This window comes from Homo sapiens, chromosome 16 (genome assembly GCF_000001405.40).
Source record: "Homo sapiens chromosome 16, GRCh38.p14 Primary Assembly".
NCBI lineage: Eukaryota > Metazoa > Chordata > Mammalia > Primates > Hominidae > Homo > Homo sapiens.
This window is the reverse complement of record NC_000016.10, coordinates 71,606,243-71,621,628: the sequence shown is the minus strand read 5'-3', so window position 1 is coordinate 71,621,628 and position 15,386 is coordinate 71,606,243. Positions and strand designations below refer to the sequence as shown.

General features: G+C 45.4%; 1 long non-coding RNA gene across 1 annotated transcript in view, besides 1 other annotated feature; it reads left to right on the top strand.

The window, feature by feature from the left end:
* The first annotated feature begins 247 nt into the window (after positions 1-247).
* Positions 248-15,386, top strand: part of LOC105371334 (uncharacterized) — a 37,613-nt gene continuing 22,474 nt past the window's right edge. The window contains exons 1-2 of the long non-coding RNA XR_933717.2: positions 248-350; positions 9,720-9,855. This is a non-coding gene — a long non-coding RNA (uncharacterized LOC105371334). The remainder of the gene's footprint in view (positions 351-9,719; positions 9,856-15,386) is intronic.
* Positions 13,606-13,655: a silencer, noted in NCBI's record as "silent region_7681". NCBI's record gives its function as "represses an Ori minimal core promoter by ATAC-STARR-seq in GM12878 lymphoblastoid cells {active_cell/tissue: GM12878}" and the evidence as "EXISTENCE:reporter gene assay evidence [ECO:0000049][PMID:35858748]".

The window sequence follows — 15,386 nt, the reverse complement described above, 5'->3', positions numbered from 1 at the left end:
TCGCTGAATTGCTGATATGGTTTGGATGTTGGTCCCCTCCAAATTTCAGGATGAAATGTGATTCCCAGTGTTGGAGGTGGGGCCTGGTGGGAGGTGATTGGATCATGAGGGCGGATCCCTCATGAATGGCTTAGCACCATTCCATTGTTGATAAGTGAGTTGTTGCTCTGTGTTCACAAGAGATCCATCTGGTCATTTAAAAGAGTGTGGTATCTCCTCCCACCCTTGCTCCCTCTCTCGACATGTTAGGTGCCTGCTCACCCTTCACCTTCCATCATGACTGGAAGCTTCCGAAGGCCCTCACAAGAAGCAGATGCTGGCAACACACTTCCTGTAGAGCCTGTAGAAACGTGAGCCAATTAAGCCTCTTTTCTTTATAAATTACCCAGCCTCAGGTATTTCCTTAAAGCAATGCAAGAACCGACTGACATAACTGCTTTGCCTCCTGGTCTAACCTACCTCTCCCCTGAAGTTCCCACTTCCCTGGATGCTCCCTCGAGTGGAGAATACTCATTCTGGAGCCCTGCATAGGTGCATTCTGCTTGCTTCCATATGCAGAGTGATTCTCTTTCCTTTGAGGCTTGTCATAGTTAGGTTATAAGTTTGGCTGGATGGGCTAGAGACTCAACATAAAAGTATCTTAAACAAGATAGTTATTTCTCTCTTGGAAATGACTGATCTGGTGGCTCTGCTCTGTGACATTGTCAGAAGTCCACACCCCTTCTAGCTTCTTTTTCTGCTACCCTTTAGATATTGCCCTCATCTACGTGGTCCAGGATGGCCAACACCATGTCTACACTACAGTCTGCAGGGAGGGAGGAAGAAAGGGGACCAGGAAGGGCTTTCCTTCTGTAAGAATGAGACCCACAAGTTGCAGATATTAATTCTTCTCAATTCTTGTTGACCAAGATGGTAACATGACCATGTATAAGTGCAAAGGAAGCTGGGAAGTGTGGCCATATACCCAGCTAAAAACTTGGCGTTTTTATAAGAGTAAGGGGGATGCTATGGTCTGAATGTGTGCCCCTACAATTCATATGTTGAAACTCAATCGCCAATGTGATAGTATTAAGAGGTGGGGCCTTCAGGAGGTGATTAAGTCACGAGGGGAGAGCCCTTGTGAATAGGATTCATGCTCTTATTAAAAAGTTTGAAAGGAGCTCCTGTGTCCCTCCACTGTGTGAAGATGCAGCATTTGTCTCTTCTGCCATGAGAGAATGCAGCCCTTCACCAGTCATTGAATCTGCCATTTCCATGATCTTGGAGTTCCCAGCCTCCAGAACTGTGAGAAATAAAAGTCTGTCTATAAATTACCCATCTAGGGTATATTCTTAGAGCAGCCCAGTTGGACCAGGACAGGGGAGAATGGAAGTTAGGGAAGAGTCAGAAGTCTTTGTCATTCAAAGTCTGAATCGGTCTTCGGCGATTCATTCACTTTCTACTGTGTTTTGATAATGTCATGAACTGGGCTCCTGGTCCCTTCAGCATTTCATTGAAGACTCACTCCATTCCAAGCCCTGCCATGATCACCATTGTGGCTACAGATACAATATACCAGTCTCTTTTTTGTTGTTGTTTTTGAGACAGAGTTTTGCTGTGTCTCCCAGGCTGGAGTGAAATGGAGCGATCTTGGCTCACTGCAACCTCTGCCTTCTGGTTCAAGTGATTCTCCTGCCTCAGCCTCCCAAGTAGCTGGGATTACAGGCATGTGCCACCATGCCTGGCTAATTTTTGTATTTTTTTTATTAGAGACGGGATTTCACCATGTTGGCCAGGATGGTCTCGAACTCTTGACCTCGTGATCCACCCGCCTCAGACTCCCAAAGTGCTGGGATTACAGGCGTGAGCCACTGCACCCAGCCCTCAACTTCTCTTTTAATTATAAATTTTATTTTTAATTCAATTCTTTCTTCTCATATTTTACTGTAAGCAGTCAAGAGAAACCATGCCACACCTTCAACACTTACTTAGAGATTTCTTCTGCCAAATAGCCTATTTCATTGCTTGCAAGTTTTACCTTCCACAAAACACTATGACATGAACACAATTCAGCCAAGTTCTTTGCCACTCTATAACAAGGATGGCCTTTCCTCCAGTTTATAATAACATGTTTCTCACTGCTGTCGGAGAGCTCATCAGAATGGCCTTGACAGTCTATATTTCCATGAACATCCTGATCACGATTGCTTAGGTAATCTCTTTTTTTTTTTTTTTTCGAGACAGAATCTCGCTCTGTCACCCAGGCTGGAGTGTAGTGGTGCCATCTTGGCTCATTGCAACCTCTGCCTCCTGGGTTCAAGCAATTCTTCTGCCTCAGGCTCCTGAGTAGCTGGGATTACAGATATGTGCCGCCACGGCTGGCTAATTTTTGTATTTTTAGTAGAGACAAGGTTTCACCATGTTGGCCAGGCTGGTCTTGAACTCCTGACCTGATGATCCGCTGGCCTCTGCCACCCAAAGTGCTGGGATTACAGGTGTGAGCCACTGTGCCGGTATGCTTAGGTAATCTCTAAGAAGGTTGAGGTCTCTACAGCTCTCCTCTCCTTCTGATTCCTCACAAGAACTGCCCTTTACAGTATGTTTATGGCAATATAGGATTTTTCTAGTGTGCTCTTCCAAATTCTTCTAACCTCTGGCCATTACCTAGTTCCAAAGCTGCTCCCACATTTTTAGGTATTTGTTACAGCAGCACCCCACTTCTCCTACCAATTTCTGTTCAGTCCATTTGGGCTGCTATAACAAAATACCATAGACTGAATAATTTGTAAATGATAGAAATTTATTTCTCATTAATTCTGGAGACCAGGAAGTCCAAGATCAAGATGCTAGCAGATTTGGTGTCTGATGAAGGCCTGTTCCTCATAGATGATGCCTTCTAAGTGTCCTCACATGGTAAAAGGAGCAAGGAAGCTCCCTTCAACCTCTTTTATAAGAGCACGAATTCCATTCATGAAGGCAGAGCCCTTATGACCTCATCACTTTCCCCGAGGCTCTGTCTCTTGATACTGTCACATTGGGTATTGGGTTCCAACATATGAATTTTGGGGAACACCGATGTTCAGACCATAGCATACCCTTTCCAAGTCAGGTGGCCCTCTTTTGGGTGGCAGGCAATTCCCCAGAGAAGGAACAGCTGTGACTTGCTGTCAGTCAGTGTCATCGTGGCTGGGGGATGGGTATATCAGCAGGAAAAGGGGATCCAGAGCCCCCCTCAACAAACAATCATTGCAATGATTTTCTTGTGAATTGTTCTAGGGTTTGATTCACATAAATATAAGCAGATCAAATCTATATACCCTTCTTTCCGATTCACACGAAAGGTAGCATAGTGTTCTCTGTTCTGTGACTTGCTTTTTTCATGTAATTATCTTGAAGATCTTTTCATATTGGTAAATAAAAAAGGTCCTCATTCTTTTTTTCAAGCTGCATAGTGCCCTGCTGTATGACTGTATCATAACTGATTTAATTAGTGCTCTCTTGATAGACATTTGGATTATTTCTAATCTTTTGCTACTATAAAGCTGTATGATTATTTCTAATCTTTTGCTACTATAAAGCTGTATGAATGACCTTGTGTGTTATTTTGCATTCTCACATGTACATCTGTGGGGTATATCTCCAAAAGTTTAATGTCTAAAAAGTGACCTAGCCATCCAAAGGTGGGAGAATCACTTGAACCTGGGAGGCAGAGGTTGCAGTGAGCTGAGATCACGCCATTTCCCTCCAGACTGGGAGACACAGCAAAACTCTGTCTCAAAAACAAAAAAAAGAGCCTGGTATATTGTATCTGTAGCCTCAATGGTGATCATGGCAGGGCTTGGAATGGGGTGAGTCTTTAATGAAGTGGTGAAGGAACCAGTCTAAAAAGTGACCTAGACATTAATCTTTTTTTTTTTTTTTTTTTTTTTCTGAGACTGAGTCTCACTCTGTCGCCCAGGTTGGAGTGCAGTGCCATGATCAGTGCCATGATCTCGGCTCACTGCAACCTCCACCTCCTGGGTTCAAGTGATTCTCCTGCCTCAGCCTCCCAAGTAGCTGGGACTACAGGCACCCACCACCATACCTGGCTAATTTTTGTATTTTTAGTAGAGACAGGGTTTTGCCATGTTGGCCAGGCTGGTCTTGAACTCCTGACCTCAAGTTATCCACCCACCTCAGCCTCCCAAGACATTAAACTTTTGACAGATTGCCAAATGTCCTTCATAGGAATTATATAGGTTTGTATTCCCATTAGTTATACATGAGAGCGTTTATTTCCCCACAAGTTCATCAACAGCATGTATTACCAAACTTTTGGTTTTTCTCCTAAACTAAATGTCCTTTAAAATCTAGGCAGAGGTAGCCATGTCCCCATAGCTCTTGCACTCTGTACATCGGTGGAAATGTGATTAAAATCACCTTCCCAGTGATTTTAAGAACTATTTTTTTCTGATTATAAAAATAATACACAGGCTAGGCATGGTGGCTCACACTTGTAATCCCAGCACTTTGGGAGGCTGAGGCGGGAGGATTGCTTGAGCCAAGGAGTTCAAAACCAGCCTGGGCAGCATAGGGAGACCCCTGTCTCTACAAAAAATACAAAAATTAGCTGGGTGTGGTGGTGCACACCTCTAGTCCCAGATACTTGGGAGGTTGAGGTGAGAGGATCGCTTGGGCCCAGGAGGTCAAGGCTATAGTGAGCTGTGATGGCACCCCTGCACTCCAGCCTGGGCAATGGAGTGAGACCCTGTCTCAAAATAATGATAATAACAATAATAATACATGTCCACTTGTAGAACATTTGAAAAGTACAGTCTTTAAGCTTGTTATGTTTTGCCTATGTTTAAATATTTGAGAAAAAATTTTATCCACTTAGTCTAAGGATATTTTTCTCTTAATTGCCTAAAAGTCTGCTCACAAGCAGTCAAAATACTTTAAAGAAATCACAACTTTATTATTATTATTTTTTGAGAGGGAGTCTTCGCTCTTGTTGCCCAGGCTGGAGTGCAGTGGTGCGATCTCGGCTCATTGCAACCTCCACCTCCTGGATTCAAGTGATTCTCCTGCCTCAGCCTCCCGAGTAGCTGGGACTACAGGCATGTGCCACCACGCCTGGCTAATTTTTGTATTTTTAGTAGAGGCGGGGTTTCACTATGTTGGCCAGGCTGGTTTCGAACTCCTGACCTCAGGTGACCTGCCTGCCTTGGCCTCTCAAAGCGTTGGGATTACAGGCGTGAGCCACTATACTGGGCCTCTATGTTTATTTTTTAATGTGTCTGTTATTTGACTGTACCTTGTAGAGTAGGCTGCATGAAAGCGGGGACATATCCTGCTCCCTGATAAATCCCCAGGGCCTCGAACTCCAATGGCACGGAAGACACTTGTTCAATGAATAAGTGACTCTTGAATGAATGGAGGGGAGCCACCCGGGGCCATGTCTCCAGGAAGCCGGCTCAAATTCCTCCAGCTAAAAGTGGTCTTTGGCTCTCTTTAACATCCTGACACTTTGTTTATAGGGTTTTTGTGCTTTGCCCTGTAGCTTTTTTTCTCTCTTTTTTTTTTCTTTGAGATGAAGTCTTGCTCTGTTGCCAGGCTGGAGTGCAGTGGCACGATCTTGGCTCACTGCAACCTCCTTCTCCCTGGTTCAAGTGATTCTCCTGCCTCAGCTTCCTGAGTAGCTGGGACTACAGGCGCACGCCACTACGCCCAGCTAATTTTTGTATTTTTAGTAGAGACAGGGTTTTACCATGTTGGCCAGCATGGTCTCGATCTCTTGACCTCGTGGTCTGCCTGCCTCAGCCTCCCAAAAAGTGCTGGGATTACAGGCATGAGCCACCATGCCCAGGCTTTTTTTCTCCTTTTACTGACACCAGCACTGTGAACCCCAAGCCAACATCTCCAAATCACCTGTAAATGCTCCCCTGTCCCCAAATGCACTCAACCAGGATTTGCTGAATAGATATGGGGATAGATAAATATCAGCTGTGGGCTCTTTAAGAGGGTTTGTTGAAACAGGTGGGACCTGAGGATATCTTCCTGGGAGCCTGAGAAATTTACACACTTAAAAGTCTTTTACAGGTCCAGGCTACATCTTAAATTCTCTACAAACCCTCTGTGGCAGATTGTACTTTCTGAGAAAGGCCACGCCAGCTGGGCGCGGTGGCTCACTCCTGTAATCCCAGCACTTTGGCAGGCCGAGGCGGGCAGATCACCTGAGGTCAGGAGTTGGAGACCAGGCTGACCAACATGGAGAAATCCCGTCTCTACTAAAAATGCAAAATTAGCTGGGCATGGTGACACATGCCTGTAATCCCAGCTACCTGGGAGGCTGAGGCAGGAGAATCTGCTTGAACCCGGGAGGCGGAGGTTGCAGTGAGCCGAGATCGTGCCATTGCACTCCAGCCTGGGCAACAAGAGCGAAACTCCATCTCAAAAAAAAAAAAAAAAAGGCCACACCAATATTTCCAGTTTCACATGCTTTTCCAGAACCTTGCTACTGCCCCATCTAGAGGGGAAGTCAGTGTCCCCACCCTGTGAGCCTGCGCAGGCCCTTGTGACTGCCTGGACAAATAGAATCAAAACCGGCTACATCATTTGTGGGTCCCAGTCAAATGAAAATACGGGGCCCTTGTACAAACATTTATTTAGTTATTTGTTTTGAGACAGGGTCTTGCTATGTTGCTCAGGCTGGAGTGCAGTGGTGTGATCACAGCTCACTGTAGCCTCAAACTCCTGGGCTCAAGTGATCCTCCCACTTCAGCCTTCTGAGTAGCTGCGATTACAGGTGTGCATAATCATCATAGCTGGCTAATTTTTTTTTCAGTTTCTTTTGTGGAGATGAGATCTTGCCATGTTTCCCAGACTGATCTTGAACTCCTGGCCTCAAGCGATCCTCCTGCCTCAGCCTCCCAAAGTGCTGGGATTACAGGTGTGAGTCACTGTGCCTGGCCATCAAATATTATTACGAATTTCCAGGGGGTGAGAGCAGAGCATTAAACCAAGCATGGGGCTCTGTGTGACCACACAGGTCACACGCCCATTAAGCTGGTCCTGAATAGAATGCAGTGGAAGTGATGCTGAGTGATTTTTTGGGCTCATCAACAAAGGTGATACAGCTTCTACCTGGCTCTCTCTGAGGCTGCTCTACCTTGGAACCCAGTCACAATAATGTAAGGAATCCCAGGTGACATAAAAAGGCCATGTATAGGTGTTTCGTTGTCTCTAGCTAAGATCTTAGTCTACAGCCAGCATCAGTCTCGAGACATTAGTGAATGAGCTCTCGAAGCTTCCAGCCCCAGCCATCAGGTGACCCCCAGCCTTTGGGTCTCTCTGCTCAGACCCTAGACATTGTGGCACAGAGACAAGCCCTTCCTACTGTGCCCTTTCCAAATTCCCGACCCACAGAATCCATGAGCATAATAAATGGTTGTCTTATACCTCTAAGTTTGGGAGTGATTTGATACTCAGCAAAAGATAACCAGAATATTTCCCACGACTTCAGCTCATACTGGCCTGTCCTTTTTTGAATTGTTGCAATTTTGGCTCAAAACATGCATTTCATCTGCTGTTCTCAAAATTTGAAAGTATACATTTAATTGGCCGGGTGTGGTGGCTCAAGCCTGTAATCCCAGCACTTTGGGAGACTGAGGTGGGTGGATCATTTGAAGTCAGGAGTTTAAGACCAGCCTGGCCAACATAGTGAAACCCCATCTCTACTAAAAAAAAAAAAAGAAAAAAAAATGCAAAAATTAGCCGGGTATGGTGGCCCACGACTTTAGTCCCCAGCTACTCAGAAGGCTGAGGCAGAAGAATCACTTGAACCCAGGAGACAGAGGTTGCAGTGAGCTGAGATGGCACCACTGCACTCCAGCCTGGGTGACAGAGCGAGACTCTGCCTCAAAAAAAAAAAAAAAAAAAATTCAGTACAATAACATGCTATACAGATTTGCAGTCTAGGAGCAATAGGCCATACCATATAGCCTAGGTGCGTTTAGTAGGCTATACCAAGTAGGTACACTCTGTGTATAAATACACTCTATGATGTTCACACGATGACAAAATCACCAAATGATGCATTTCTCAGAACATACCCCTGACATTAAGCAACGCATGACTGTATTTGTGTAGTGTCTGCACCTCTCTCTGGACTGTCAGCTCCCATAGACTATGCCTTTGCCATTATGCCTGGCACCTGGTAGATGCTCAATAAATAATCATTGGGTAAATAACAAGATCTTGCTCTGTCACCAAGGCTGGTGTGTAGTGGCACAATCATGGCTCACTGTAGCCTTGGCCTCCTGGGCCCAAGCGATTCTCCCGCCTCAGCCTCCTGAGTAGCTGGGACTACAGGCATATGCCACCATGTCTGGCTAAGTTTTTTCTTTTCTTTTCTTTTCTTTTCTTTTTTTTTTGTAGAGAGAGATAGGGTCTTGCTATGTTGCCCAGGCTGGTCTGAAACTCCTGGGCTCAAGCGTTACTCCTGCTTCAGCCTCCCAAACTGCTGAGATTATAGGAGTGAACCACCATGCTTGGAAACATTAGTTCTTACAAATTAATTCTATGTACTCAAGGAGATGACAGGGATCTTTTATTTTCTGTTGCAACTTATAACATCATTAGGTACAGTAAAAGTAAAACAATCCACTGGGTGTGGTGGTGCATGCCTGTAATCCCACCTACTTGGGAGGCTGGGGCAGGAGAATCTCTTGAACCAGGTAGGTGGAGGTTGCAGTGAGCCGAGATCATGCCACTGCACTCCAGCCTGAGCAACAGAGTGAGACTCTGTCTCTAATATGTGTAATTTTTGATAAATTAATCAACCACACAAGTAAGGACGGAGTAAGTAAGGTAGTTGAGAGTTAAAGCCTAGTGAACATCTGATGAGTTTATTTTATTTGTGGAAGAGAAGTTTAGGAACCAATCTTCTGACCTCTCTTTTGCCTTAATTAAAAATATAACACCTTTTGGTTATTCTGCTGTTCTTCCAGGAATCTTCGGACAGACATTATGCATACAGTGGAAAGTTACAAAAAGGGAGTTATTTTCTGAGAAAATCCCCCGAGTAAACTTTAACCAAAGCAAAGAGTGTAAGTGGCAGATGACCAAAGAGTAGAGAATAGGAAAGTACTTGTCACTGGTATATTAAAAATAATTTTCCAAAAAAGAAACTCTCGCCCGGATGTGGTGGCTCAAGCCTGTAATCCCAGCACTTTGAGAGGCCGAGACAGGCAGATTGCTTGAGGTCAGGAGTTCGAGACCAGCCTGGCCAACGTTGTGAAACCCTGTCTCTACTAAAAATACAAAAATTAGCCGGGTTTGGTGGCGTGCGCCTGTAATCCCAGCTACTCAGGAGGCTGAGGTAGGAGAATCACTTGAACCCGGGAGGCGGAGGTTGCAGTGAGCCGAGATCGGGCCACTGCACCGCAGCCTGGGAGAGAGAGCGAGACTCCCATCTCAAAAAAAAAAAAAAAAAAGAAAAAAAGAAAGAAACTCTCACATAGATATAAAATGAACATGTTCAAGATTTTCTTTAACTCAATGATCATTGAAGAAATCAAGCAGATATTACAATAGGTTCAAAAAATAGACCCATTTGTAGACCAGGAATAATGAAATAAATGTGCAAATGGAGGCAAACGGATTTTTTTTTTTACAGAGGGTAAGCAAAATCAATTGACTTTCTACTAGACAGAACATAATTTGCATGTTTATAAACAATAATTTTTTTTTTGCATTGCCAGCAATTAGCTATTTTGTAAAATAGCTCAAAGTCAATGAAAGACTAGAGTCAGATACCCTGGAGGAGTATTCTCTAGACAATGAAGTTTTTCACTGAAGTTCAAGTGGAAAGGCATTGGTTTTCCTCCAGCTGGAAAGGTGAGATATTAAACGGTCTGGGAGCTTTGGGGTTTGGGAAAATCTGGGTTTGAGGCTAGTCCGGAGAAGAAGTAGCGCCTCCCGGTGATTCTGATTCAGCAGGCTGGGAACAGAGCCCGGGCATCTGTGTTTTCGAATAGCTCCATCAGGCACCCTAATTAAGAACCGGTGTGTTAATTTAGCACTCAATATTCCATCCTAAAGGAGAATCTAATGTAAGAATAATCCAAATATTTACCTAAGTTTTTCTTTAAACAAATAAACATTTCTATTGATTTTGGGTACAGGCAATGGCATTTGGGGACAGAGCTGACTTTTCCCATTTGGTTTCTTTGAATGGTTTCTTTCAGCCTTCACTTATGAGGGAGGCAGTCCTTAGGTATGTGGATCAAGGGGGAAATCCTTGCACATTCCCCGCGAGATCTTTTGATTCTCTTCCCCACTCAGCACATCCTGTGCTTGCTGTCAGACCCTAGACTCAAGCTCTGGTGGCAGAGGGGACTTCTGGCTGGGTTAGTTCCTACGCAGGCGCTCTAGGTGGGAAAGGGAGCCTGCAGGGGGCCCAGAGCTGGCCAGCAGGGGGCAGCACAGGCTCAGGCTGGGAGGCGCGGGAGCCCATAGGATGCCGTCTTCCTCAGTTTCGAGAATCCCCTCCCCCGACTCAGCCTGGGTGACCAGAGTTCTCTCATCCAGCTGTGAAACAACGCCTGGAGTTCACTATTTAGGTTCACTAAATAGGTTCACTATTTCCTGAACTTCGCCTAATACACAGGTGAGACTGAGCTTGGGAAATCACTCACCCTCCCTCTGCCCAAAATGCAACCCTCTCGCTTGCAAAATGGGGATAATTGTACCTACTTCATAGGCTTAAATAAGTAATATGCATAACACACTGGAGCAGTGCCTAACATATATTTAAACTACACATGTATTAGCTATTCTTTTATTTTATTTAAAATTTTTTTTAGAGACAGGGGTCTTACTATATTGCCCAGGCTGGTCTTGAACTCCTGGGTTCAAGCCATCCTCCTGCCTCAGCCTCCAAAGTCCTGGGATGACAGGTGTGAGCCCCCGCGCCTGGCCTGTATTAGCTATTGTTATTGCATTGCTACCGCTTATCAGGCACTGTGGATGCCACTGTGATGCAAGGAAGAGAAATAAGATAGCCGTGCTGGCTGAGAGCTCACAGCCTCATGAGAGAGGCAGCTAAGTAAATTCTTTGTGACACTGGGAAGAAAAAGATGAGCATGAGATGTGGGCAGGGTATGGAGGCAGAAGTAACCAAAAGTCTTTGGGAGGCTGAGGCAGGCAGATCATCTGAGGTCAGGAGTTCGAGACCAGCCTGGCCAACATGGAGAAACCTTGTCTCTATTAAAAATACAAAAATTAGCTGGGTGTGGTGGTGTGCGCCTGTGGTCCCAGCTACTCGGGAGGCTGAGGTAGGAGAATCACTTGAATCCAGGAGGTGGAGGTTGCAGTGGGCAGAGATCACCCCACTGCACTCCAGCCTGGGCAACAGAGCAAGACTCTCAAAAAAAAAAAAAAAAAGGAACCAAAAGCAACGAAGGAGTGAAGGGAGAGCATTCCCTTCGCCCTCTGAAGGGTTGCTGAAAATTAACTGACAAAAGGCAGATTAATAGGAGAAATAGAAATTTATTAATGTGTCGGAGAGTCTTACAAAATATAAGATCTCAAAGAAAGGGAAGAGGGTTGTATGCCTTTTTTTTTTTTTTTTTGGAGACAGAGTCTCGCTGCCGCCCAGCCTGGAGTACAATAGTGTGATCTTGGCTCACTGCAACCTTCGCCTCCCAGGTTCAAGCAATTCTCCTGCCTCAGCCTCCAAGTAGCTGGGATTACAGGTGTGTGCCACCAAACCTGACTAATTTTTGTATTTTTAGTAGAGAAGAGGTTTCACGATGTTGGCCAGGCTGATCTCAAACTCCTGACCTCAAATGATCCACTCGCCTTGGCCTCCCAAAGTGCTGGGATTACAGGCGTGAGCCACTGCGCCCGGGCTGGGTTGGCGCGCCCAGGCTGGGTTGGATGCTTTTATACCATCTTGAGGTTACAGGAAGAATAGGGGTTGGACTCTGGCACAACAGACTATGGGAGAGGGAAAGGAGCAGGCCTGGCTAGCGAAGGTAGTCTTGTTATGTAGCTAAAGTTTCACAGGTAACCACTCTCAGAGAGAATAGATATGAATGTTTCTTTCAAACCTTTATTTTTTATTTTTATTTTTTGTAGAGATGGCGGGGGGGGGGTCTCACTATGTTGCCCAGGGTGGTCTCGAACTCATGGGCTCAAGTGATCTGCCAGCCTTGGCCTCCCACACAGCTAACCCCTTTCAAACCTTTAAAGGTATTAGACACTTACTTAACCTTCCCTAGATTTGGACAAAGGAGGGCTTCAGAGAAAGCCTGGCTGCATCAAGGCAGATTTTCTCTATAGATAAAAATCTCTCCCACAAAAGACGGCTTTTCAGCTATTCTTGTATTTCCAGTTCTTCTGAATAGCCAGCTTGAAATGTGTCAAAGAAGTATATTTTGGGGCAAAAGTTTTTCGTTTCCTTTAGTGACTTCCAGGAGAGAGAGTGCTTAAGGAGAGTTTTTAGGAATGAGTAGGACTGTAATCCTTCCTTTTTTTTTTTTTTTTTTTGAGATGGAGTCTTGCTCCATGGTCCAGGCTGGAGTGCAGTGGCAGGATCTCAGCTCACTGCAACCTCTGCCTCCCGGGTTCAAGCAATTCTCCTGCCTCAGCCCCCTGAGTAGCTGAGATTACAGGCATGTGTCACCACACCCAGCTAATTTTTGTATTTTTAGTAGAGATGGGGTTTCACCATGTTGGCCAGGCTGGTCTCGAACTCCTGACCTCAAGTGATCCACCTGCCTCAGCCTCCCAAAGAACTGGGATTACAGGCATGAGCCACCACTCCCGGCCCTGTAATCCTTACGTTTGAACCACAAGGGAAGAAGTAAAGGGAAAAAAGGCAGAAGAGGGAGGCAGGGGTCAGATTATAAGAAGCCTGCAAAGCCAGGCATATGCAGTTAGTCATTTCTCCTACTCTTCTCACCCAAGACACAGTCTGACTCCTTCCTGGCAACCTGAAAATGATCTGTCTAAGATCATTGACATCTTCCAAACACAAATGACACGTTTCAATCTTGAACTTACTCAGCTTCTCTGTAATAAAAATTTTACAGCTACCAGTAGCAGCTGACATTCATTGAGAACCTGACATTCACCGAGTATTTTGAGCATCTGTAGTTCATTGAATATTTATTTGACCATCAGTGACTCATTGTTCTCAGGCAATGAGTCACTGATCGTGTATTCTCTCTGGGTCTGTGGTCTCCAAGCAGGTGCACACAACCTCTCAATGTGGTGAAGGGAAAAAATCCTAGACCTCTATTTAATCTGGAAATATTGTCTTTTTGGGAATCTCTTTTTCTGTATCTGATTTATAATGTAAATGGTATGTTAATACAGCAGTTCATAGATATAATTTATAAATACATGTGTTCATGTTGGGGTTAGGTTTGAGAGTACAGGCTGTATGGAGCCACCAGAGATGGCTTTTAATCAGAGAAGTACCTCAGTCAAATTTGTTATAAAAATAACATTCCAGGCCAGGCACGGTGGCTCATGCCTATAATTCCAGCACTTTGGGAGGCCAACGCGGGCGGACCACAAGGTCAGGGGTTTGAGACCAGCCTGGCCAACATGGTGAAACCCCGTCTCTACTAAAAATATGAAAATTAGCCGGGCGTGTTGGCACGCACCTGTAGTCCCAGCTACTCAGGAGGCTGAGGCAGGAGAATCGCTTGAATCTGGGAGGCAGAGGTTGCAGTGAGCCTAGATGGCGCCATTGCACTCCAGCCTGGGCGACACAGCAAGACTCCGTCTCAAAACAAAAAAACCAAAAAGCATTTCAGGCTAAGCGTGGCGGCTCATGCCTGTAACCGCAACACTTCGGGAGGACAGAGCAGAATGATTGCTGGAGACCAGTCTGGGCTACATAGGCAGACCCCTATCTGTTAAAAAAAATTTTTTAGCCGGGTGTGGTGGTGTGTGTCTGTAGTCTCAGCTACTTGGGAGGCTGAGGTGGGATGATCATTTGAGCCCAGGATGTCGAGGCTGCAGTGAGTCATGATTGCACCACTGCACTCCAGTCTGGGCGACAGAGTGAGACTCTATCTCAAAAAAGAAAAATAAAAAATAAATAACATTCCAAAATATTCTGGAGGGAGAGCAGGTCCCAGCTGAGGCCTAGGGAGGGAGAAAAAGTGAACGTGAAAGATATTAAGGGTGATTACCTTAGCAAGAAGGAGCAGGTGATCAATAGCATTAAATGAGAACAGTGAGTTACTGATGATTCAATAATGAACTACAAATGCTGAAAATATTCTCTACCACACTGCGGATCAGAAATTCAAGAGCGGCTTGACTGTGGGTTTGTGAGTCTCCCTCGACATTACAGCCAAGAGGTTGTCAGGGACTGCAGTCATTTAGGCTTTAATGGGGCTTATTCTGTGGAAGGGCTGTGTATGCAAAGTAACCCCCAAACACAGAAGGAGCGGAGAAACTAAAGAACAAGGCAGGTGAATCCAGTTTGTCAGTAGAGGATGAATTATTGGGGAATTTACAGGTGGAAGTGTGGTCTTGGACGGCAGCAACATAGGTAGATCACTGTACCGTTACTTCCCAGAGGGTTTATACGCCAGAGGGAAGGGGTGTACATGCCTGCCGTATAGACGCAATTAAAGGAATTAAAGGCAGCCCTCCAGAACAGGCAAGAATGCTATGTGTGTCACAGCCTATAATTTGCACGATAACTTCAAGGTTGCTTTGGCTTAAAGGGAGGATTTATAGTGAGTACATATTCTTACATAAAGGGCAGTAAACAACGTTGGAATCAGGAGGCACTCCTGGGGACTGGGGTTAATCAGAAGTCAGCATGGTGGATTAGCATCCAAGATGGAGACACCTGAGTCTTCACAGGGCTTGAGGATCTCCTCCAAAGCTGGCTTGCCCAAGGTGAGCCTCTCCACAGGGCTGCTGTGGTGTCAGCATAATATGGCAGCTGCCTTTTCCCAGAGCAAGAGAGCCAAGAGACCAAGATGGAAACTTAATGCCTTTAAAAAAAAAACGATATTTTTTTTGAGATGGAGTTTTTGCTCTGTCTCCCAGGCTGGAGTGCAGTGGCGCAATCTTGGCTCATTGCAACCTCTGCCTCCCAGGTTCAAGTGATTCTCCTGCCTTAGCCTCCCGAGTACTTGGGATTACAGGTGTGCACCACCATGTCTGGCTAATTTTTGTATAATTAGTAGAGACAGGCTTTTGCCATATTGGCCAGGCTGGTCTCGAACTCCTGGCCTCAAGTGATCCACCCGCCTCGGCCTCCCCAAGTTCTGGGATTATGGGTGTGAGCCACCGTGTCCAGCCTGCAATGCCTTTTTTGAGTTTTACCTTGGAAGCCACATGCTATTAGTTCCACAGTATTCTATTGGTCACACAAGCCAGCCCTGGAATGT